This window comes from Homo sapiens, chromosome 12, assembly GCF_000001405.40.
Source record: "Homo sapiens chromosome 12, GRCh38.p14 Primary Assembly".
Taxonomy (NCBI): domain Eukaryota; kingdom Metazoa; phylum Chordata; class Mammalia; order Primates; family Hominidae; genus Homo; species Homo sapiens.
Window position 1 is genome coordinate 121,580,293 of NC_000012.12, and position 24,609 is coordinate 121,604,901.

Consider the following 24,609-nt stretch of genomic DNA (forward strand, 5'->3'; position numbering starts at 1 on the left):
AACATTGTTGCCGATCGCGCTCGGAGCCCGCGGCCGGGCTATTTGGGGGGGCTCTCGGCCCGGGCTTGGGGGGGTGGGGGCGGCGGCCCGAGGAGGTATGGGGCGGGGAGGGAGCCCGGGAGGCACCGGGCGCCGTTAGCGCCGTGGCATCGCTGTTTTGTTGTTGGGTCACGAGTGCGCCTCTGCACGCAGGCGCCGCCGCCGCCCGGGAGTTGTGTGCAGAGCTGACTTTTGGAGGGCCGAGTTGCAGGCGGCGGGCGCATCCCGGAGATGGCGGGGCAGGGAGGGAGGGAAGGAGGAGGGGGCGGGGAGGGAGGTGCAGATTTGCACGGCTGGCCTCAGCGGGAGGCGCGGAAATGCAAGCCGAGCATGCTGGCGTGAAAGCCCCCGGGGCCTGGCACCCCCAAAAACGACCCCCCACCTCCGTTCCTGCCCTCATTGCCCAGGGCTACCCCTCTTCCTCTTCTTTCATCCACCCCTCCCCCAACATTACCTGTGTGGCCGACTCAAATTCAAAGCATTTTGTATATATAACTGTTTTCTTTTTTTGCTTTTCTGCTGCATGTCTTTTTCGTGGGGGGTGATCCTCTGCAGATCCCCCCATTTGCGGACCCGCCATGTGGAGGAGGCATTTGGGGGGCTCAGAAGGAAATTAGCTCGGCTTCCATACCTATAAGGACTGCCTAACTTTTAAACTCCCGGCACTCAAAGATGTGGACACACACACGTACAGGAAATACAGCCAGACCAGAGCCTTTGCAGTCCGCAGCTGACCGGAAGACGTTGCCTTTCATTCATTCATTCTGCCCGCCTCTGTGGACTCCTTTACTAGGCGACCAGCCCTGAAACAGAAGTTGGACATTTTTTAAAGGTTCTTGCGCTCGGCAAGGGGAGCAGATAGATGCTCAGGAGCGAAAGACGCAGAGAATTGGATCTGGCGCCTCCTAACGCAGCCCGCACAGGAGCGAAGGGTAAGCCCTTGTTGGTAGTTTATAGAAGACAAGTCGGTGGAAAGGTGCATGGTGCTCTGGGATAGGTGGGGGGAACTCTAGTGCCCTTGATGAAGCCCCTACAGGGCTTCTTAGCGGAGGTATCGGCACCCTCCGTACATACATGGGTGTCATTAGGTCCCTGTCCACTTACTAGTGTTTTTGACTACCCCAGCACTGGTCCTGGGTTGTCTTGTCCTCCCATCATGAGCAACAGTCAGGTCGACTTGGCTTGAGAAAAGCTAGCCCTAAACATTCCTCCAGCCCCAGCTGTGGCGCCCTGCTAGGCCTGATCTTGCGGGTAAAGATGCTGATAAAATGACATGGCAAGAGGGAGACGATAAAGGGACATTGTAGATAGCAGGCTTTGAGCCTGACATTTTATTTCTGCCATAACCCTGTGGGATACTTGGAGCAGGTCATTTTGCAGATAGGGAAACTGAAGCTCAGAGAAATTATGAATCTGAATGATTGCTGTGCTCCCATATGGTCCCCAGGCTATCAGACAGACCTGTGGGGAGGACGTGGCTTCCCCACCAGGAGATACGATGTCACTATCAGCATCGTATTGGCCGTCCTAAGAGACAGCTTCCCCCTCACTCACCTTAGAAGTTTCCTGTCCTATCTGACTGTAGTCTTTCCCACCCATCCTCAAAGGCTACTCTTTGAAGTTTGTTTTCATTCATGTTCACTAGCTGTAAAAATCTTTTAAGCAGGGATGAGGCTGGGAAACATCAAAATTTGTTTCCAAACTGAAATCGCCCACGTTGGCTGCTGCGTGCAATCAGTAGCCCTTCGTGTGAGTGCTGCCGGTTCTGCCTTCAGTCCGTCCAGAACCATGGACCATTTTATTTGTTCCTGTCTTTCTCACAAGAACCCTTTAAGGGAAATCGTCTTGTTCGTTCCCATTTTGCAAAGGAGGAAATTAGGACTAAGAAAAGCAAAGCCACTCACCCAGGATCACATAGCGCGTATGTGCCGCTGCCAGGGCTCACACTGGAGCCTGGCTTGGCCATCACGTGCTTTTTTTTTTTTTTTTTTTTTTTTTAGTAACTTACCAGCCTCACTACTGCCCCATAATGAAATAAACATGTTCAAAGGAGGCTGCATGGGCTGGAGAGTGACGCAAAGTGAATTAAGTGAAATAAAGCAAAAAATATATAATAGAATGCTTCATCTAATTAATTCTTTTTTCTCCCTGAGGCCCTTCTTTCTCTCCAAGTGGCCTCATAGTGGCCCCAAAAGCTGGCATCAGAAAAAGGTCCAATGGCAGCCACCTTAGTATAAAAACAGTTAAGTCCATCTATCACCTCCACGAGGAGTTCCTGGCCTGTCAGAGTGGGAAGGGGCTGGGTAGTCACCTCATTTAATCCCCCCCCTTTACAAACCTCGAGGAAACCGCAAACACGAGAAAAGAATGGGCCAGCCGGGGGTTTGTTCCCCTTGGCCTCCCCCAGAATGCCTGCCCTGCTGCCGGGTCCTAAGTGGCCACTCAATAAATGTTGGGCCCTTGATGAATCACCTTCCCCCTCGATATTTGCATTTTCTCTTTATCAGTAATTGGCAGATGAAAGGCTTTGTCCTCCAGTTGAAAGAATTCCAAGCATTTGCTCAAAGTGGGGGAGGAGGTTATTTTGGACCAAAGGGGGAAGGGCCAAGACCCTGGAGCTCCCAGTGTTGACTAATTGTCCCAGAGAAGTGGAGAGTAGGTAAGGGAAGAGAGAAGGTGAAGGTGCTTACCCCAGAGATGTACTTTTTCTTGCAGGAAAACACCGGGCCGGTTGTATTGGAAACATAATAATAATTATTTCCTGGACCCTCCTGCTCGATCTTACAAAGGGCCCAGTCAAATCCTGCCTGAGTTACCCCCATTCATTCTTCATTCATCAAAGGTTGATTGAGCAACTCTGTGCCCAAAGACAGAGAGGCTAGAGAAAAGAAGATGCAGCGTGGGGCATGCAGATTGGGGCATACTCGAGGCTGGGTAGGACGATGGACCTGCAGCTTCCCAAGGAAAGGGTGGACACTGGATGTAGCTCTCAGAAACCAGAATCTTGATAAGAAATTGAAGTTGTTCTCATATTCATATATGATTATCATAACTCCTGATTTTTCTTTTCTTTTTTTTGAGAGAGGGTCTTGCTCTGTTGCCCAGGCTGGAGTGCAGTGACACAATCTCAGCTCACTGCAACCTCCACCTCCTGGACTCAGCAATGCTCCACCTTAGCCTTCCAAGTAGCTGAGACTACAGGAGTGCACCACCATGCCCAGCTAATTTTTGTATTTTTGGTAGAGACAGGGTTTTGCCGTGTTGCCCAGGCTGGTCTCCAACTCCTAGGCTCAAGTGTTCCTCCCACCTCGGCCTCCCAAAGTGCTGAGATTACAGCCGTAAGCCACCACACCTGGCCCTGTTTTGTTTTAATTTAAGGATATCTAATCATTCCACATCAGCATATGTGGAATGCTATAGCACATCAGCTATAGTTTCCTTATTCTTTCTAATGATTTCATAGCATTTCATTGGGCAGATAAATGGTGCAAGAATGATTTAATTAGTTCCCTAACTTTTAGATGGTTTTCAATCTTTTTCTATTGCAAACAGAGCTATAAGGGATTGCAGCTTTGTGCTTGAGTCTGTCAGTAGAATATATATCTGAAAGTGATCATCCACGTCTCAGGATTCCTACCCTATCACCAACTATTTGTCCTTGAGAAGTTTATTTGTAAGATCTGAGCAGGTGGGACAACCTCATATCCAACTGGTATCCCCAGGAGTCTACGCAGTGCCATGCCCTTGGCAGGCACTCAGAGAGAGTGGTTTAAGGGCTAACACTGCAAGCATTCACACTGTAATCAGATGGCCTCTTCTAGGAAACCTTTGCTGATATCCTTGGCCCCCTTTCCCCATGGACCCTTCATTCATTCCACAAATGTTTGTGGAAGGTTGATTAGGGGGACCCTGTATCAAATCAGCCTCTTAGGTATATATAGCCTGGTAGGTGAGTTAAAACAAATTCTGGAAAGCACTCTAAGGCTGTGCTGTTTGATGGGATACATTAGCTACATACAGCTACTTAAATTTAATTAAAATAAAATGTAAAATTCAGCTCCTTAACCCAGTACCTACATTTGAAGGGGCTAGAAGTGACAGCACTGAATGGTGCAGATACAGAATATCCCTATCATTGGCTGGGCGCTGTGGGTCACACCTGTAATCCCAGCATTTTGGGATGCTGAGGCAGGTGGATCACCTGAGGTCAGGAGTTCAAGACCAGCCTGGCCAACAGGATGAAACCCCCGTCTCTATTAAAAATACAAAAATTGGACAAGCGTGGTGGTGCACACCTGTAATCCCAGCAACTCGGGAGGCTGAGGCAGGAGAATTGCTTGAACCCAGGAGGCAGAGTTTGCAATGAGCTGATTGCACCACTGCACTCAAGCCTGGGTGACAGAGGGGGATTCTGTCTCAAAAAAAAAAAAAGAATATCTTGAATAACTCTATCATCTTCTGTGGGACAGCCCTGAAGGGAGGCTTAGCATAGTGGGCAACCCTGTGGGCTCTGGATTCCTGTAAGCTCTGAGTTCGAATCCTATCATTATTTCCTAGCTATAAAATTTGGCCAAGCAAGTTAACCTGTCTTTGAGCCTCAGCCATAAAGGTGGGGAATTACAGCCCCTTATGGAGATTTGGCAAGGATTCAAAGGTACTGCAAATGTGAGGGGCTTTGCACAAAGTCATAGTAATATTATAAAAAATCTGGAGTGAAGCCAGGCGCAGTGGCTCATGCCTATAATCCCAGCAATTTGGGAGGCCAAGGCGGACAGATCACCTGTGCTCAGGAGTTCGAGACCAGCTTGGGCAACATGATAAAACCCTATCTCTACTAAAAATACAAAAATTAGCTGGGTGTGGTGGCGTGCGCCTGTAGTCCCAGCTACTCAGGAGGCTGAGGCACAAGAACCGCTTGAACCCAGGAGGCAGAGGTTGCAGTGAGCCAAGATCATTCACTGCACTCCAGCCTGGGTGACATCCCGAGACTCCGTCTCCAAACCAAAACGAAACTAAACAACATGCAGAATACTAATAATACTAAGTTGTGCGGACCATGTAAGGAAACCAAAAGGGTTATGTCTGTATCTACATGCTTTTTTTTTTTTTTTTTTTTTTGTGAGACAGAGTCTTGCTATAACACCCAGGCTGGAGTACAATGGCACAATCTCGGCTCACTGAAACCTCCGCCTCCCGGGTTCAAGCAATTCTCCTGCCTCAGCCTCCCAAGTAGCTGGGACTACAGGCGCATACCACCATGCCCGGCTGATTTTTGTGTTTTTAGTAGAGACAGGGTTTCACCATACTGGCCAGGCAGGTCTCAAACTTCTGACCTCAGGTGATCCGCCCATCTCGGCCTCCCAGACTGCTGGGACTACAGGCATGAGCCACCGTGCCCGACCCATACATTCTTTAGTATGTGCAGAATTTCCTTTGGAAAGATCAAAAAGTGAGAAAAAGAACTGGGAAAAGAGAAGAAAGCCTATTTTTTGGTAAAGTGATATTTTTACCACATATGTACATGAACGGTGCCTGATTTTAAACCTTATTGACTTAATCTCATTTTAGATGCTGTAGTACCTCTTGAATTTTGTACCGCACAGATGTATTACCTACTCAAAAATAATTCCATTTTATTCCTTTTTTAAGTCTATAAGATTCAAAATCAGGCAAACCTAAACCAAAACTAAATTTTTTTTTTTTTTTTGAGACAGGGTCTTGCTCTGTCACCCAGGCTCTGGTGTGCAGTGGTGTGATCACAGCTCACTGTAGCCTCCACCTCCCGCGCTCAGGCAATGCTCCCACCTCAGACTCCCGAGTAGCTGGGACTTGTAGGCATGCAAGACCAGGCCCAGCTAATTTTGGTACTTTTTGTAGGGACTCTGTTTTGCCATGTTACTCAGGCTGTTCTCAAACTCCTGAGCTCAAGTGATCCACCCCTCAGCCTCCCAAAGTGGGGGATTACAGGCTAAATATTCTTTAGATATAGATACATAAGTCACAAAACAGGAATAAAAGCAAGGAATGATTAACACAAAATGCTGCAAAAGACCATTCAGGAAAGGAATGTGAACAGAGATACTAGTGACTTTCTGTTTCTTAATCCACCTGCTGGGCATCTAAGACTGTTCCTTAAAGTATAGTTAAATATTTTTCAGATTCTATTGTATTTATGAGATATTCCACAATTTTTTCTTTTTCTTTTTTTTCTTTTTTTTTTTGAGACGGAGTCTCGCTCTGTCGCCCAGGCTGGAGTGCAGTGGCATGATCTCGGGTCACTGCAACCTCTGCCTCCCTGGTTCAAGCGATTCTCCTGCCTCAGCCTCCTGAGTAGCTGGGACTACAGGCAAATGCCGCCACACCCAGCTAATTTTTGTATTTTTTGTAGAGACGGGGTTTTGCCATGTTGGCCAGGCTGGTCTCGAACTTCTGAGCTCAGGTGATCTGCCCGCCTCAGCCTCCCAAAGTGCTGGGATTACAGGCCTGAGGCACTGCGCCCAGCCTTATTTTCTTGTATTATTGTATCACAGAAATATACACACCAGCCAGGTGCTGTGGCTCATGCCTGTAATCCCACCACTTTGGAAGGCCAAGGTGGGCAGATCATTTGAGGTAAGGAGTTGGAGACCAGCCTGGTCAACATGATGAGACCCTGTCTCTACTAAAAATACAAAAATTAGCCAGGCATGGCGACACGCGCCTGTAATCCCACCTACTCAGGAGGCTGAGGCAGGAAAATTGCTTAAACCCGGGAGGCAGAGATTGCAGTGAGCCAAAATCATGCCACTGCACTCCAGCATGGGTGACTAAGCAAGTCTCCATCTCAAAAAAAAAAAAGAAAGAAAGAAAGAAATATACACACCATCTCTCATCTTGCCTTTCACTGACTATAATCTTGGACCCCTTTCCACGTGCTATCTGTAGAACTGCCATTCTAAAGTATTATTTAGGCTGGGCGCGGTGGCTCACGCCTGTAATCCCAACACTGGGAGGCTGAGGCAGGCGGATCACCTGAGGTCAAGAGTTGGAGACCAGCCTGGCCAACATGGTGAAACCCCGTCTCTACTAAAAATACCAAAAATTTGTTGGGCGTGGCGGCATGTGCCTGTAATCCCAGCTACTCGGGAGGTTAAGACAGGAGAATCGCTGGAACCCGGGAGTCAGAGGTTGCAGTGATCCGAGATCGCACCATTGCACCCCAGGGGCCTAGACAACAAGAGCGAAACTTCGTCTCAAAAAAAAAAAAAAAGAAAAGAAAAAGAAAAAAAGTATTATTTAAGTGTTACATAAATCTGAGTGTTGTGATAGAAAATTCGATTGGTTTTAAAAAGTCACAGAGTAAAGTGTATATTATGACCCATTTATGTCAAAACAAGCTATTTATAGTAATATTTGTATATATATATGTGTGCCCCCCCACCAAAAAAAAAAAAAGATAAGAAAGGCTTGGAGACTGGGCACGGTGGCTCACTCCTGTAATCCTAGCACTTTGGGAGGCTGAGGCAGATGGATCACCTGAGGTCAGGAGTTCGAGACCAGTCTGGCCAACATGGCGAAACCCTGTCTCTACTAAAGATACAAAAATTAGCTGGGCGTGGTGGCGCTCGCCTGTAATCCCAGCTACTTGAGAGGCTGAGGAAGGAGAATCGCTTGAACCTGGGAGGTAGAAGTTGCAATGAGCCGAGATCATGCCACTGCACTTCAGCCTGCCCAACGGGAGCAAGACTCCATCTCAAAAAAAAAAAAAAGAAAGGCTTGGAATTGCGCGGCAAACCACTACCTTTGATTCCCTCACAGGAGGGGAGAAAATTTTAACGGGGTTATATTTATATATTATTTGCGTCTTTAACAACAATTTTGACCTTTTACATTTGTCAAATATTTCAAACATAATGAAAGTTATAAAATAAATAAAGAGGGCCTAGTGCAGTGGCTCACGCGTATAATCCTAACATTTTGGGAGGCTCAGGCAGGCAGATCACCTGAGGTCAGGGGTTCGAGACCAGCCTGGGCACCATGGCAAAGCCCCGTCTCTACTAAAAATACACAAATTGGCCAGGTGTGGTTACATCTGTAATCTCAGCTACTCAGGAGGCTGAGGCAGGAGAATCGCTTGACTCAGGAGGCAGAGGTTGCAGTGACCCGAGATGGTGCCACTGCACTTCAGCCTGGGCAACAGAGTGAGACTCCCTCTCAAAAAAAATTAATAAAATAAATAAAGACTCGTGTATCCAGCATCCAGTGTTGGCAAATGTTAGAGATTTGCCATATTTGTATGAGTTTTGCAATTTAAAACAAATATTCTTTTTTTTTTTTTTTTTATGACGGAGACTCACTGTCGCCCAGGTTGGACTACAGTGACATGATCCCGGCTCACTGCAACCTCCACCTCCCGGGTTCAAGCGATTCTCTTGCCTCAGCCTCCTCCTGCCTCAGCCTCCGGAGTAGCTGGGATTACAGGCGTGTGCCACCATGCCCAGCTAATTTTGTATTTTTAGTAGAGACAGGGTTTCACCACATTAGCCAGGCTGATCTCGAACTCCTGACCTCAGGTAATCCGCCTGCCTCTGTCTCCCAAAGTGCTGGGATTACAGGCGTGAGCCAATGCGCCAGGCTCCTGAAACAAATATTCTTACTTGGGAAATAGTCTTAATCTGGGAGGATAACAGACCATACTATTTCTGTTAAAGTGATTGGGGTCTCCAGGCCGGGCGCGGTGGCTCACGCCTATAATCCTAGCACTTTGGGAGGCCGAGGCGGGTGGATCACCTGAGGTCAGGAGTTCAAGACCAGCCTGGCCAACATGGTGAAACCCTGTCTCTACTAAAAAAAAAATACAAAAAAATTAGCTCGGCATGGTGGCGGGCACCTGTAATCCCAGCTACTTCAGGAGGCTGAGACAGGAGAACCCCGTGAACCTGGGAGGCGGAGGTTGCAGTGAGCCGAGATTCTACCACTGTACTCCAGCCTGGGCGACAAGAGTGAAATTTTATCTCAAAAAAAAAAAAAAAAAGAAAAAAAAAAAAAGAACGTGATTGGGGTCTCCAAAGACCTTTTCTTTTTATTCCTCAGTCTTTTGTAGATTGAGTAAAAAGACTAAGGAAGACCAAAATGCATGCATATAGACTGTCAAGCCTTGGCCATTTGGGGAAGACTTCAGTTTCTCTCTAGAATTCTTCATTTTATTTATTTATTTAGAGACGGAGTCTTGCTCTGTCGCCCAGGCTGGAGTGCAATGCCACGATCTCGGCTCACTGCAACCTCCACCTGCCGGGTACAAGCTATTCTCCTGTCTCAGCCTCCTGAGTAGCTGGGATTACAGGTGCCCACCACCATGCCTGGCTCATTTTTGTGTTTTTAGTAGAGGCAGGGTTTCACCATGTTGGCCAGGCTGCTCTCGAACTCCAGACCTCAGGTGGATGCACCCGCCTCGGCCTCCCAAAGTGCTGGGACTACAGGCGTGTGCCACCGCGCCCAGCGAATTCTTCATTTTATAATCTGTCTCTTCCACTGTGAGGGTTGAAAGGAACACTGAATATAACAGGTGAGTTAATTAAGGGGTTAATGCCAGGAAGAGTCACGAAAGTTCAAAGATTCTTTAAAAAACTTGTCTTTTTAGGGCGGGCGCGGTGGCTCACGCCTGTAATCCCATCACTTTGGGAGGCCGAGGCGTGTGGATCACCTGAGGTCAGAAGTTTGAGACCAGCCTGGCCAACATGGTGAAACCCCCCCTCTACTAAAAATACAAAAATTAACCGGGCGTGGTGGCGCGTGCCTGTAATCACAGCTACTAGCGGGGCTGAGGCAGGAAGATCGCTTGTACCCGAGAGGCGGAGGTTGTGGTGAGCCGAGATCGCGCCACTGCACTCCAGCCTGGGCAACAGAGCGAGACTCTGTCTCAAAAAAACAAAAAAGAAAAAAAAGAAAAAAAAAAAAAAAAATTGCCTCTTTGGATTGATGGACAAGTACTTTAACCAATGGAAATAAAAATCTAAGCATTACTTCATCATACTCAATTGTGATTGGTTGACGATCCCCGAGGGAGGGCTCAGAGGGCTGGCAATTAACCCTTTCAGGGAAAATCAGGCCTTTTGCATTTATTTTATTTTAAAGTTGAAGTAGTAACAGATGAAAAGCCTACAAAAGTCCCCGGACTTTCAAATACCACATTTCAGTCTTAGCCCAGAAAGCAGGATTTCGCCCCACAAAGGAATAGTCAAGGACAAATTTCCTGGAGAAAAGTTTTGAACTTTTAGAACGGGGAATCCGCTGACCTCGCTGAGTAAGTGAGAAGGTTGATTCACTTTTTGTGCTGTTGGAACAGGGACCAGTGTTGGAGATGATTCCATTAATCTTGCGAAGTGATCAGTCACTGGGAGGATTGAATTGCATTTCCTGCCTAAAGATAGAGACAGATGACCTTTGCTGCAGCCCTCAGACCCCCAGTTCACAGCTGGGGAGAGGATGTGTCAGCGTTTACTTTCAGGTCTCACCCTGCCCTTTGTTCAAAATTCAGACTCTTTTGTGTTTAGGCTGCTGCTGGGGTTTTTGTAGTTGTTGATGCTGCTTTTTTTTTTTTTTTTTTTTTTTTTTTTATATAACCGCCCACATCCTGCAACTTCTGAGAAACAAACTCTCTATTTGGTAGAAGATAAAATCTGGAGGTGCCTCGGAGAGGGAACCAGAATAGACAGGGAATTCCGACAGGCCATTGGGCCTTTAGGCTTTAATTACTGCCCTCACCCCTTCCTGGACTCCCTAAATGCTGCAGGCTGAACTGGATGGAGCCAAAAGTCCAGCAAAATGAATAACAATGCTTCGTGTTTATATGGCTCTACTACAAGAAAGCTTTTACACACATTACCTCATGGAAGAGGCACTGCTAAAGCAGAAGTATTTACATAAATGAACATTCGCAGTTCCTAAATGTAGTCAGCTGCATGACCTAGGACAAAGTGTCCAAACTTAAGTCTCAGTTTTCTCATCTGTAAAATGGGGTCACATGAAAGTTACCAGAGGAGGCCGGGCGCAGTGGCTCACGCCTGTAATCCCAGCACTTTGGGAGGCTGAGGTGGGCGGATCACAAGGTCAGGAGATGGAGACCATCCTGGCGAACACGGTGAAACCCCATCTCTACAAAAAATTAGCAGGGCGTGGTGGCTGGCACCTGTAGTCCCAGCTACTCAGGAGGCTGAGGCAGGAGAATGGCGTGAACCCAGGAGGCGGAGCTTGCAGTGAGCCGAGATCTCGCCACTGCACTCCAGCCTGGGTGACAGAGCGAGACTCCATCTCAAAAAAAAAAAAGTTACCAGAGGGTCAAGGCGCGATGGCTCACACCTGTAATCCCAGCACTTTGGGAGGCCGAGGCAGGCAGATCCCCTGAAGTCAGGAGTTTGAGACCAACTTGGCCAACATGGGGAAGCCCCATCTCTACTAAAAACATAAAACTTAGCTGGGCATGGTGGCTCATGCCTGCAATCTCAGCTACTTGGGAGGCTGAGGCAAGAGAAATGCTTGAACCTGGGAGGCGGAGGTTGCAGAGCCTAGATCGTGCTACTGCACTCCAGCCTGGGTGACAGCAAGACTACGTCTCAAAAAAAGAAAGAAAGAAAGAAAGAAAGAAAAAGAAAAATAGGCCGGGCGAGGTGTCTCATGTCTGTAATTCCAGCACTTTGGGAGGCCAAGGCAGGCAGATCACCTGAGGTCGGGAGTTCGAGACAAGCCTGACTAACATGGAGAAACCCCGTCTCTACTGAAAATACAAAATTAGCCAGGCATGGTGGCGCATGCCTGCAATCCCAGCTACTTGGGAGGCTGAGGCAGGAGAATCGCTTGAACCCGAGAGGTGAAGGTTGCGGTGAGCCAAAATCACACCATTACACTCCAGCCTGAGCAACAAGAGCAAAACTCCATCTCAAAAAATAATAATAATAAAATAGTTACCCGACAATTGAATGAGCCAATGTTCTATAACAGGACTCAATAAATGGTGTGTCTTAATTAAAATGAGGTTGACCTCCTGGGCTCCAGAACGATGACAGCTAGCTGTGGATTGGGCAAATTTAGCTTTTCCCCAAGGGGAACGCCTTGGGGAAGCCTGCCTGGAATGTATGGATTGAGTCCCCTTGCTTGTACATCCTGTCCCTCACCAGACTCCAAAGTCTGACCGTGCTGAACTATTTTGAGTTCTTTGACTAAACCTGCTCTTTCCTCCTCTAGACCTTTGCATATGCCAGTCTATTCCCGCAGCCCTTCTTCCCTCCTGTTTCTCCTGGAATCTGCTTTGCTCTCTCTCTTTCCTGCCCCCTCCCAGTAATTACCACATCATCTTACTGTTGCCTGTGCCTTCACCAGACTGTAAGCCCTGGAGGGCAGTACCTGGTCTGTCTCATTCATGGATATAGCTCTAGCAAAGTGCCTGCATGTTCTCTAAAAATACTTGTGGTTTTTTTTTTATTATTTTATTTTTTTGAGACGGAGTCTCACTCTGTCGCCCAGGATGGAGTGCAGTGGTGCGACCTTGGCTCACTGCAACCTCTGCCTTGCCTCCGGAGTTCAAGCGATCCTCCTGCCTCGGCCTCCCAAGTAGCTGGGATTACAGGCACCCACCGCCACACCCAGGTAATATTTGTATTTTTAGTAGAGACGAGGTTTTGCCGTGTTGGCCAGGCTGGAAAACATACTTGTTGAATGGAAACCCAGCACCCCAATTCCTTCTCCCCAAATCCCAAAACTACTCACCCTTCTGGAAATCTCAAATAACTGCTGAAATTTTCTGTTTTCCTGGATAACCAAATTATAATACCCTTTACAGATGGTGTCCATGGCTTTTAACCCTCCTTGAAATGACATTCATTAATCCCACAACTATTTATTGAATGCCTCCTTGATTCACACAGAAAGCAACCTTAGGCAGGCACTGTGGCTCATACCTGTAATCCCAACAATTTGGGAGGTCAAAGCGGGTGGATCCCTTGAGCCCAGGAGTTAGAGACCAGCCTGGGCAACATGGTGAAACCCCATATCTACAAAACAAAAACAAAACACAGCAGCCTTGATAGGAAACTCTCCTCTTCATCCCGCGTCACCTATTCATGGCAGAGAGTGTGACGATCCCCCTGATGCGGCTGAGATGTTCTGAAATGAAGACGTTGGCTCTCATCCCCAGCCTGAAGAGAGAAAATTCTGAGATGGCTCCCTTACAGATTGAGAGCAGGTGAGTTTACCTCTACTCTCACGCAAAACTCTCATTCAGAACACCTGTCACAACTAATAGACTACTCACGTGTCCACAGTCTAACACCACTCAATAAAAGGAAAATTCCCCGTCTAATCCCAGCACTACAGGAGGCCAAGGCAGGAGGCTCACTTGAGAGCCCAGAAGTTTGAGAACAGCCTAGGCAACATAATTAGGCCCTGTCTCTGTTAAAAAAAAAAAAAAAAAAAAAGGAAAAGTCTCTGAGGAGTCTGAGGAGACCAACCTTGTTCGTCCTCTTCACTATTTTATTTATTTATTTATTTATTTATTTATTTATTTTGAGACAGAGTCTCGCTCTGTCGCCCAGGCTGGAGTGCAGTGGCACCAATCTCGGCTCACTGCAAGCTCCACCTCCCGGGTTCACGCCATTCTCCTGCCTCAGCCTCCCCAGTAGCTAGGACCACAGGCGCCCACCATCACACCCGGCTAATTTTTTGTATTTTTAGTACAGACGGGGTTTCACCGTGTTAGCCAAGTTGGTCTCGATCTCCTGACCTCGTGATCCACCCGCCTCAGCCTCCCAAAGTGCTGGGATTACAGGTGTGAGCCACTGCACCCGGCCTCTTCACTGTTTATTTTCAGGTCCTAGGACCCAGCTCATAAAACATACTCAACGAATGTTTGTTGAATGAATGAATTCCTCAACCTCCAAAACTATGTATATTTTCAGCTTGATCAACTATCCTTAAAGTGTACCTCTTTGAACAAGATACCGGCTGGGTGCGGTGGCTCATGCCTGTAATCCCAGCACTTTGGGAGGCCAAGGCAGGCAGATCACCTGAAGTCAGGAGTTTGAGACCAGCCTTGCCAACATGGTGAAACCCTATCTCTACTAAAAATACAAAAATTAGCCGGGCATTGTGGTGGGCACCTGTAGTCCCAGCTACTCAGGAGGCCGAGGCAGGAGAATCGCTTGAACCCGGAAGGTTAAGGTTGCAGTGAGCCGAGATGGCGCAGCTGCACTCCAGCCTGGGTGACAGAGTGAAACTGTGTCTCAAAAAAAAAAAAGTCCTGACACACTGGCTCACGCCTGTAATCCTAGCACTTTGGGAGGCCAAGACGAGCAGATTGCCTGAACTCAGGAGTTTGAGACCAGCCTGGGTAACATGGTGAAACCCCGTGTCTACTAAAACACAAAAAATTAGCCAGGGGTCGCAGTGTGCGCTTGTAGTTCCAGCTACTCGGAAGGTTGAAGCAGAATTGCTTGAACCCAACAGGCGGAGGTGCAGTGAGCTGAGATCATGCCACTGCACTCCAGCCTGGGTGACAGAGGCAAGACTCCGTCTCCAAAAAAAAAAGATACCAAGTTTCTTAGAGGTATAAAAAATACGTTGGTGTGCCTTGGCGAGGCGGGAACACCTTTCTAGCTCCAAAGTCCAGACCCTTACCCACTCTATTCCACACTGCCACCCTTATTCATGACACCTGTTGCACACAAACTGAGTCATGGGGACCAGCCATCATTGCTCGCAGCTGAGGCCTAAAAACGCGTACCCTGCGTCCCCTCCACCGCCACCAGCCAGCAGTCTGGGAGGCACCCCTAGCTCATGATGCCGGGTAGAGGAGGGGCCGCTGTTTGCATGTGACTCTAGCTTCCTCACTGCTAGGCTGTGCCTAATTATTTTATTTTTATTTATTTATCTATCTATTTATTTATTTATTTATTGAGACGGAGTCTTGCTCTGTCGCCCAGGCTCGAGTGCAGTAGCGCCATCTTGGCTCACTGCAAGCTCCGCCTCCCGGGTTCACGCCATTCTCCTGCCTCAGCCTCCCAAGGAGCTGGGACTACAGGCGCCCGCCACCACGCCCGGCTAATTTTTTGTATTTTTAATAGATACGGGGTTTCACCGTGCTAGCCAGGATGATCTCGATCTACTGACCTCGTGATCCGCCCGCCTCGGCCTCCCAAAGTGCTGGGATTATAGGCGTGAGCCACCGCGCCCGGCGGCTGTGGCTAATTATTAGGTAACTAGCGTCGTTGGGTCTCCCTACCTGAAGGCCTAAAGGCTGGAGATAAGAGGGCTGAAGGGGAGTAGAGCCAGGACTGGTGGGCCTGGGAGCCACCAATAGTCCCAGAAGATCCTACGGGGACTTTGCCTTCTGCTCCTGATCTCTGGAATCGATTCATCAGCCTGAGCTTCGACTCCAGCCTCTGCATCCGCTTCTCCCAAGGTGATTCCTCAATGTCTGCTCTGGGCACCTCATGGATGCATCGCAAGGGCTTTAGGGAGTCCTCTGCTCACAGGGATTGACCTACCCGCTTGCCAGGTCTCAAGCTCTTGAGAGAAAGCCTGATGCTCTTTTTGTCTTCACCTCCATCCTAGGCACTGGGTAGGAACACAGCCAAGAACGATTGCAGGATGGGTCCTTCCAGGACACTGACGTCTCAGCTTGCGCACTGTGAGTCCCTGGACGAGTTACTCCACCTCTCTGAACCTCCTCCTCACTTGCATAATGGGAAAAATAATGGACATAGGAAGATGAAACAAGACCTTGGAGACCACATTTACCATCTTATTTTCCTTGTTCCTTTTTCTTTTCTTTTTTTGTTTTTGTTTGTTTGTTTTTTGGAGACAGGGTCTCACTCTGTCACCCAGGCTGGCGTGCAATGGCGCGATCTCAGCTCACTGCAGCCTCTGCCTCCTGTGTTCAAGGGATCCTCCCACCTCAGCCTCCCGGGTAGCTGGCACCACAGACGCACACCACCATGCCTGGCTAAATTTTTTTGTATTTTTAGTAGAAGTGGGGTTTTACCATGTTGGCCAGGCTGTTCTCGAACTCCTGGCCTCAAGTGATCCGTCCACCTCGGCCTCCCAAAGTGCTGGGATTACAGGCGTGAACCACTGAGCCCGGCCCCTTGTTCCCTGTTCTGTTTCTTTTTCACTGTTATCACTGATCACCATCGATCATATTATCTACATATCTATTAGATTGGCGCAAAAGTAATTGCTGTTTTTGCCATTACCTCCAATGGCATTACTTTCAGTGGCAAAAACTGCAATTACTTTTGCGCCAACCTAATATATTGAGACAGGGTCTCTCTCTGTCACCCAGGCTGCTGGAGGGCAGTGACACAATCACAGCTCACTGCCATGTCCAACTCCTGGATTCAAGTGATCCTCCCGCCTCAGTCTCCTGATTACCTGGGACTACAGGCATGTATCACCACACCCAGCCGGTTTTTTTGTTTGTTTGTTTTTGAAACAGTTTTGCTTTTGCCCCCCAGGCTGGAGTGCAATGGCATGATCTTGGTTCACTGCAACCTCTGCCTCCGGGGTTCAAGCGATTCTCCTGTCTCAGCCTCCCAAGTAGCTGGGATTACAGGTGCCTACCACCACACCTGGCTAATTTTTGGTTTTGTGGGTGTGTGTGTGTGTGTGTGTGTGTGTGTGTGTGTGTGTTGGAGTCTGGCTCTGTCACCCAGGCTGCTGGAGTGCAATGGCGCAATCTTCAGCTCACTGCAACCTCTGCCTCCTGGGTTTAAGCAATTCTCCTGCCTCAGACTCCTGAGTAGCTGAGATTACAGGTGTCCACCACCACGCCCGGCTAATTTTTGTATTTTTAGTAGAGACAGGGTTTCACCGTGTTGGCCAGGCTGGTCTCCATCTCCTGACCTCAGGTGATCCACCTGCCTCAGCCTCCCAAAGTGCTGGGACTACAGGCGTGAGCCACCACGCCCGGCTCAAGTTTCTCTTTTTCTTTTTTTTTTTTTACATTTTGTAGAGACAGGGTCTCACTATGTTGCCCAGGCTGGTCTTGAACTCCTGATCTCAAGCAATCCTCCCTCTCTGGCTCCCGAAGTGCGGGGATAATAGGCATGAACCACTGTGCACAGCCCATATTTTATATTCTACTTAACTGAGTTTCTTTAGTTTTTATTCCTCCCACTAGGATGTCTGTTTTGTTTACCTCCATATCTCCAGCCCCTAGAACAGAACTTGGTTCATGGTGGGTTCAGTAACTATTTGAATTAAATGAATAGATGGACGTAAAATGGTTAGTACTGCGGTGCCCAGTAATGGTAGGTATCAAACTTAGTCTCTGTGCTCCAACAGAAAGCAGTGTAATTTAAGATGGGCACAGTGGGCTGGGCGCGGTGGCTCACACCTGTAATCCCAGCACTTTGGGAGGCCGAGGCAGGTGGATCACCTGGGGTCAGGAGTTCGAGACTGGCCTGGCCAACATGGTAAAACCTTGTCTCTACTAAAAATACACAAAATTAGCTGGGTGTGGTGGTGGTCACCTGTAATCCCAGCTACTTGGGAGGCTGAGGCAGGAGAATTGCTTCAACCTGGGAGGTGGAGGTTGCAGTGAGCCAAGATCACGCCACTGCACTCCAGCCTGGGCGACAGAGCGAGACTCCGTCTCAAAAAAAAAAAAAGATGGGCACAGTGGCTCCCGCCTGTAATCCCAGCACTTTGGGAGGCCGAGGTGGGCAGATCACCCGAGGTCAGGAGTTCGAGACCAGCCTGGCCAACATGGTGAAAAACCCTGTCTCTACTAAAAATACAAAAATTAGCCGGGTATGGTGGCACACGCCTATAGTCCCAGCTACTTGGGAGGCTGAAGCAGGAGAATCACTTGAACCTGGGAGGCAGAGATTGCAGTAAGCCAAAATCTGGCCACTGCACTCCAGCCAGGGTGACAGAGCCAGACTCCATCTCAAAAAAAAAAGAACGAAAGAAAGAGAGCAGTGTAATTGGAGCAGGGAAAATGCAGCATCGTAATAGGAGGTACAGGTTAGGAGCTCTGGCTGAGAAATCCCGTCTGTACCATGTACCAGCTGTGTGACCTGGAACAGAAGAATGAATTCACCTTCCTGAGGCTCAGTCTCCTCATCTGTCAAATGCAGGTGATGTAGGACCTCCTGGGAAGGATGTGAGCATGCAGGAGATGGTAAATGAAAAGCACTTAGCAGAGTGTCTGGTGCATAATAAGTGCTCAGAAAACACTGGCCTACGCTGTTCATTATAGTAATACTCAGATGAGGGGGACCTCTGAGTCAATTAAACAGTTGCTAAGCACTTAAAATATGTCACGGGCCAGCGAGTCCAGTAAACATTTATTGACTTAAATCTGTGAACTCCTTAAGGGAAGGGACTGTGTCTACATTGTCATGATCCCGGCCCCAGAAGATGCTAATTAATGTGAAAACATGCTGGAAAAGTTACATACTGAACTCAAATATGAGTTAGAATACAGAATAGCTATTAGAGTAATAACACCCATTGCCTAACATGTGCCAGGCTTGCTGTTGGGTGTTGGAGAAAGGGCAGGGAGCTTAAACAAACATGGGAACTTACAGCTTAGCAGGGGAGACAGACTTTGTTCTGAGAATTGCACAGATAGAGAGGAAACTCTGAAGTTGATAAATATCACAAAGAAGACATATGTGGTGCTGTGAGTTCCATAATATGGAGGGAGGGAGGGTTGACCTGGTCTCGGACTGGGGAGGGAGTGATGCCTAGAGCTGAGCTCTGAAGAAAAGTTCTTTGCTAGGCTGAGTGTTGGGGAAGTGCTCTCAGCAGATGAAATGGCAGATAGAATAGGCCTTCTGACTGAGGCACACATGTGCTAAAGGGCGCAAAAGAAGGCCCATATGACACAAGCATAGTGAGCTGAGGGTGCGATTGGGGGTGAAATAAACTGCAAAAATTAGTAGACACTTTGGGAACTAGCTGGGCAATGTCTGATAAAGCTGAAGGTGTGTGTAACCTATGATGCAGCCGCTCCACAGCTGAGGACATTGTTGACAGAAATGCAGGAGTGCACTGGGAAGCATGAACAAGAATGATGGCCCTAGCAGCATTGTATATCATCACAAAAAACTGGAAATAGGCTGGGCGCGGTGACTCATGCCTGTAATCCCAGCACTTTGGGAGGCCAAGGCAGGCAGATCACCTGAGGTCAGGAGTTCGAGACCAGCCTGGCCAACACGGTGAGACCCCATCTCTACTAAAAATACAAAAATTAGCCGGGTGTGGTGGCACATGCCTATAATCCCAGCTACTCGGGAGGCTGATCAGGAGAACTGCTTGAACCCGGGAGGCGGAGGTTGCAATGAGCCAGGATCGTACCACTGCACTCCAGCCTGGGGCAACAGAGCAAGACTTTGTCTCAAAAAAAAAAAAAAAAAAAAAAAAAAGACAGGTTCAGGCCTGGTGTGGTAGCTCACATTTGTAATGCCAGCACTTTAGGAGGCCAAGACAGGAGAATCGCTTTAGTCCAGGAGTTTGAGACCAGCCTGGGCAACTTAGTGAGACTCTGTCTCTGCAAAAAAAAATGTAAAAGTATGGGCGCGGTGGCTCATGCCTGTAATCCCAGCATTTTGGGAGGCCGAGGCAGGTGGATCACCTGAGGTCAGGAGTTCGAGACCAGCCTGGCCAACATGGCAAAACCCCATCTCTACTAAAAATACAAAAATTTGCTGGGCATGGTGGTGTGTGCCTGTAATCCCAGCTACTCAGGAGGCTAAGGCAGGAGAATCACTTGAACCTGGGAGGCGGAGGTTGCAGTGAGCCAAGATTGCACCATTGCACTCCAGCCTGGGCAACAAGAGCAAAACTCCATCTCAAAAAGAAAAATGAAAAAAATTAGCTGGGTGTGGTGGTGCACTCCTGTGGTACCAGTTTCTCTGGAAGCTAAGGTGGGAGGATCACTTGAGCCCACAAAATCAAGGCTGCAGTGAGCCATGATCGCAACACTGCACTCCAGCCTGGGCAACAGAGTGAGACCCTGTCTCCAAAAAAAAAAAAAAAAAAAAATTCTGGGCACGGTGGTTCACGCCTGTATTCCCAGCACTTTGGGAGGCCCAGGCAGGTGGATCACTTGAGGTCAGGAGTTCAAGACCAGCCTGGACAACAGGCTGTATTTTGTATTTTGTCTATTAAAAATAGAAAAATTAGCTCGGCATGGTGGCGTGTGCCTGTAATTCCAGCTACTTGGGAGGCTAAGGCAGAGTTACTTAAATCTGGGAGGTGGAAGTTGCAGTGAGCTGAGATCGCGCCACTGCACTCCAGCCTGGGCGACAGGGAGACTCCATCTCAAAAAAATAAAAAAATAAAAAATACAGGCAGGTTCTTGCAACATGTATTTCCTGTGTACCAGACCTTGTGTTAGTCCTTCCTTCATGCATTCAACATGTATTAAACACCTACTGTGTGCCAGGCCTGATGCCTGTAATTTATTCATACATTATTTATTCAATCCAAGCAGGATTTATGGAGTGCTTAGGTAATGCTAAGCTCTGAGCTTGTCATTCAATGCAATGTATGTTTATCAAGCAGCTACTGTATACAGCTGTCCCAATCAGTGCCTGGGTACACAGTAGTTCAATAAATGCCTGAATGAATGAACGCCCTCAAGGAGCCCCCAGTCTTCCTGCTAACATGGCCTGTAAATAAATAACTCTAACACACAAAGATAAGGCTAGAAGGTGGGTGTGTTTAGAGTGCAGAGGGCCCCTTATCACCTGTACTGCCAGGTACCTTTCTCAGGGCCATATCTTCTCACCTGGGAACCAGCTCTTTGAAGGTGAGGCCAGGCTGGCCCCTAGCTCACCTGCCTGTCCATCCCCGGGCACCCATGGAGGACTTTGCCTGCAGCTCCCACTCAATCATTGCCTGCTGTCTAATTACGGCCGCTTCCGTGACCGCAGTTGTTCCTTCCTTCATACACCAGGCAAGAGGGCAGCAGCTGAGTTCTAACCCTGGAGCTCTGGCAAAGGGCCTGCACTTCTGACAGGTGCCCTCCCTCAGATTTGGCCTGATTTTCCATCTATGAAATGAAAGATTTGATTCTCCTCCTCCTTGACTTCTTAACACCTTGCCTGGACTCCTATAATGGCAAGTTAATTTTGAAAAATTATAGAGGTAATCCATGATCTAATTTTGCAAAAACCCAGACAATGCATAGAAATCATTGAAGATGGGCCAGGCGTGGTGTCTCACGCCTGTAATCCCAGCACTTTGGGAGGCCAAGGCGGGCGGATCACCTGAGGTCAGGAGTTCGAGACCAGCCTGGCCAACATGGCGAAACCCTGTCTCCACTAAAAATACAAAAATTAGCCAGGCATGGTGGTGCATGCTAGTAATCCCAGCTACTCAGGAGGCTGAGGCAGGGGAGTCGCTTGAACCCAGGAAGCGGAGGTTGCAGTGAGCCGAGATCATGCCGTTGCACTCCAGCCTGGGCAACAGAGTGAGACTTCATCTCTAAAAAAATAAATAAATAAATAAATAAAAGAAATCATTGAAGACTCAAATCTTCACTAGAGTCACAAAGCTTTGCACAATCCAAAACTTTCCTTCCTTCCTTCTTTTTTTTATTTATTTATTTATTTTATTTTATTTTTTTGAGATGGAGTTTCGCTCTTGTTGCCCAGGCTGGAGTACAATGGTGTGATCTCGGCTCACTGCAACCTCCACCTCCCAGGTTCAAGCGATTCTCCTGCCTCAGCCTCCCGAGTAGCTGGGATTACAGGCATATGCCACCACACCCAGCCAATTTTTTGCATTTTTAGTAGAGATGGGGTTTCTCCATATTGGTCAGGCTGGTCTTGAACTCCCAACCTCAGGTGATCCGCCCACCTCGGCCTCCGAAAGTGCTGGGATTACAGACATGAGCTATCGCGCTCAGCCTCCTCCTCTTTAACTGTGGTAAAATATATTCTGCAGGTTTTTTTTGTGATGGTTGTTTGTTTGTTTGTTTGTTTGTTTGTTTGTTTGTTTTTGAGATGGAGTCTCGCTCTGTCGCCCAGGCTGGAGTGCAGTGACACCATCTCGGTTCACTGCAACCTCACCTTCCTGGTTCAAGCCATTCTCCTGGCTCAGCCTCAGAGTGGCTGGGACTATAGGCATGCGCCGCCACACCCCACTAATTGTTTTGTGTTTTTTGTAGAGACAAGGTGTCTCCATGTTGTCCAGGCTGGTCTCTAACTCCTAGGCTCAAGAGATCTGCCCACCTCAGCCTCCCAAGGTGCTGGGATTATAGGCTTGAGCAACCATGCCTGGCCTCCTTTTTTTGTGGGGGAGACAGGATCTTGCTGTGTTGCTTAAGCTGGAGTGCAGTAGTGCAATCATAGCTCACTGCAGCCTCAACCTCCTGGGCTTAAGCAAGCCTCTTGTCTCAGCCTCTCGAGTAGCTGGGGCTATAGGTGGACACCACCACACCCAGCTAATTTTTAATTTTTTTATAGAGATGGGGGTCTCACCATGTTGCCCAGGCTGGTCTCAAACTCCTGTCTCAAGTGCTCCACCTACCTCCCCAAAGTGCTGGGATTACAGGGCGGGAGCCACTGCGTCTGACTGTATATTACCTTTTATTGTGGTCTTATCATCAGTTAGTTTAGAACATTTACAGGATGAACTTTAATAATGTATTGATTATTTTGGCAAGAAAATGGCTAATAATATTTGCCGTAGTAAAACTGAGTCATTAGATTACTTTCTGGAGTTACTTACTGCCAAGCAAAGTAATAAAGACTGTTCCACTGTGGGAAGGTGTGAAAATAAATAACATTACGCGATTCTGAGCTTAAAAATAGGAAATAAACTTATATGTACGGTTTTAAAAATAATAATATAGGGGCCGGGAGCGGTGGCTCATGCCTGTAATCCCAGCACTTTGGGAGGCCGAGGCAGGTTGATCCAAGGTCAGGAGATCGAGACCATCCTGGCCAGCATGGTGAAACCTTGTCTCTACCAAAAATACAAAACTTAGCCAGGCATGGTGGCACACACCTGTAGTCCCAGCTACTTGGGAGGCTGAGACAGGAGAATCGCTTGAACCCAGGAGGCTTGCAGTGAGCCAAGATTGCACCACTGCACTCCAGCCTGGGCGATAGAGGGAGACTCCATCCCAAAAAAAAAAAAAATAATATATATATATATATATATATATATACACACACACACACACACACACAATTATTACTATCGACTTAAGAGAGAAAACATTAACAGTTTCATAGCAGTGCTATTGACAACAACCACAAAGGTGAAAATGACCCAAATGTCCATCAGTAGATAAATGGAAAAATAAAACATGGTATATGGAATATAATATAATATGGAATATGATTCAGACTTAAAAACAAAGGAAATTCTGACACATGCTGCAACAAGATAAACCTTGAAGACATGCTAAGTGAAATAAGCCAGACATGAATGGACAAATATGGTATGATTCCATTAATATGAAGTACCTAGAGTATTTCAATTCATGGAAACAGAAAACAGAATGATGGGCCCAAGGGCTGGGCGTGGAGGCTTATGCCCGTAATTCCAGCACTTTGAGAGGCCAAGGCGGGTGGATCATCTGAGGTCGGGAGTTCGAGACCAGTCTGACCAACATGGAGAAACCCTATCTCATGGCCGGGTGTGGTGGCTCATGCCTGTAATCCCAGCAGTTTGGGAGGCCGAGGCGGGCTGATCACCTGAGGTCGGGAGTTTGAGACCAGCCTGACCTGCAGGGAGAAACCCTGTCTCTACTAAAAATACAAAATTAGCCAGGCGTGGTGGCACATGCCTGTAATCCTACCTACTAGGGAGGCTGAGGCAGGAGAATCGCTTGAACCCGGGAGGCGGAGGTTGCGGTGAGCCGAGATCGTGCCATTGCACTCCAGCCTGGGCAACAAGAGCGAAACCCCATCTCAAAACAAAAAAAAGAGAGAAAAAGAAAACCCATCTCTACTAAAAATACAAAATTAGCTGGGCGTGGTGGCGCATGCCTGTAATCCCAGTTACTGGGGAGGCTAAGGTAGGAGAATTGCTTGAACCCGGGCAGCGGAGGTTATGATGAGCCAAGATTGTGCCATTACACTCCAGCCTGGACAACAAGAGCGAAACTCCATCTCAAAAAAAAAAAAAAAAAAGAGTCAGGCGTGGTGGCGCGTAGCTGTAATCCCAGATACTTGGGAGGGTGAGACAGACGAATCACTTGAACGTGGGAGGCAGAGGTTGCAGTGAGCCGAGACTGAGCGACTGCATGTCAGCCTGGGCGACAGAGTGAAACTCTATCTCAAAAAAAAAAAAAAAAGAAAGAAAGAAAGAAAAGAGAGAAAGAAAACAGAATAGAATATAGAATAGATATAATGGTGGTGGCCAGGGGCTGGATGGAGGGGGATATTCTGGGGAGTTAGGTTTAATGGGGACAGACTTTTTGTTTGAGAGGATGGAAAAGTTCTAGACGTGGATGGTGGTGATGGTTGTACAACAGTGTGAATATGCTTAATGTCATGGAGCTGTACACTTAAAAATTGTTACAATGATAAATTTTATGTTACATATATTTTGTCACAATTAAAAAAAGCAGCA

General features: G+C 47.8%; 1 protein-coding gene and 1 long non-coding RNA gene across 18 annotated transcripts in view, besides 8 other annotated features; one reads left to right on the forward strand and one right to left on the reverse strand.

Moving 5' to 3' along the window:
* Nucleotides 1–1,987, reverse strand: part of KDM2B (lysine demethylase 2B) — a 173,819-nt gene extending 171,832 nt beyond the window's left edge. For 11 of the 17 annotated variants that reach the window (XR_007063140.1, XM_047429681.1, XM_011538867.4 and 8 more), the window contains exon 1: nt 494–731. Coding sequence is in view for 16 of the 17 variants with exons in the window: in XM_047429681.1 (XP_047285637.1) it covers nt 494–619 (126 nt within the window). In the remaining variant the exon portion in view is untranslated. Of the gene's footprint in view, nt 1–493 lie in introns of all 17 variants that reach the window. The other 6 variants (NM_001439029.1, NM_001439023.1, NM_001439022.1 and 3 more) reach the window with 3 other exon arrangements.
* Nucleotides 12–321: a silencer, noted in NCBI's record as "silent region_4978". NCBI's record gives its function as "represses an Ori minimal core promoter by ATAC-STARR-seq in GM12878 lymphoblastoid cells {active_cell/tissue: GM12878}" and the evidence as "EXISTENCE:reporter gene assay evidence [ECO:0000049][PMID:35858748]".
* Nucleotides 12–956: a biological region, named in NCBI's record as "H3K27ac hESC enhancer GRCh37_chr12:122018218-122019153".
* Nucleotides 21–956: an enhancer, noted in NCBI's record as "H3K27ac hESC enhancer chr12:122018218-122019153 (GRCh37/hg19 assembly coordinates)". NCBI's record gives its function as "activates a minimal SCP1, AML or CMV promoter by ChIP-STARR-seq in naive H9 embryonic stem cells {active_cell/tissue: H9 hESC(naive)}" and the evidence as "EXISTENCE:reporter gene assay evidence [ECO:0000049][PMID:30033119]".
* Nucleotides 219–15,802, forward strand: KDM2B-DT (KDM2B divergent transcript). The gene is made up of 4 exons (NR_183427.1): nt 219–971; nt 13,141–13,255; nt 15,132–15,262; nt 15,622–15,802. It is a non-coding gene; the product is annotated as a KDM2B divergent transcript (long non-coding RNA).
* Nucleotides 402–451: a silencer, noted in NCBI's record as "silent region_4979". NCBI's record gives its function as "represses an Ori minimal core promoter by ATAC-STARR-seq in GM12878 lymphoblastoid cells {active_cell/tissue: GM12878}" and the evidence as "EXISTENCE:reporter gene assay evidence [ECO:0000049][PMID:35858748]".
* Nucleotides 1,892–2,827: an enhancer, noted in NCBI's record as "OCT4-NANOG-H3K27ac hESC enhancer chr12:122020089-122021024 (GRCh37/hg19 assembly coordinates)". NCBI's record gives its function as "activates a minimal SCP1, AML or CMV promoter by ChIP-STARR-seq in naive H9 embryonic stem cells {active_cell/tissue: H9 hESC(naive)}" and the evidence as "EXISTENCE:reporter gene assay evidence [ECO:0000049][PMID:30033119]".
* Nucleotides 2,828–3,761: an enhancer, noted in NCBI's record as "H3K27ac hESC enhancer chr12:122021025-122021958 (GRCh37/hg19 assembly coordinates)". NCBI's record gives its function as "activates a minimal SCP1, AML or CMV promoter by ChIP-STARR-seq in primed H9 embryonic stem cells {active_cell/tissue: H9 hESC(primed)}" and the evidence as "EXISTENCE:reporter gene assay evidence [ECO:0000049][PMID:30033119]".
* Nucleotides 10,666–11,481: an enhancer, noted in NCBI's record as "H3K27ac-H3K4me1 hESC enhancer chr12:122028863-122029678 (GRCh37/hg19 assembly coordinates)". NCBI's record gives its function as "activates a minimal SCP1, AML or CMV promoter by ChIP-STARR-seq in naive and primed H9 embryonic stem cells {active_cell/tissue: H9 hESC(naive and primed)}" and the evidence as "EXISTENCE:reporter gene assay evidence [ECO:0000049][PMID:30033119]".
* Nucleotides 11,482–12,297: an enhancer, noted in NCBI's record as "H3K27ac-H3K4me1 hESC enhancer chr12:122029679-122030494 (GRCh37/hg19 assembly coordinates)". NCBI's record gives its function as "activates a minimal SCP1, AML or CMV promoter by ChIP-STARR-seq in naive H9 embryonic stem cells {active_cell/tissue: H9 hESC(naive)}" and the evidence as "EXISTENCE:reporter gene assay evidence [ECO:0000049][PMID:30033119]".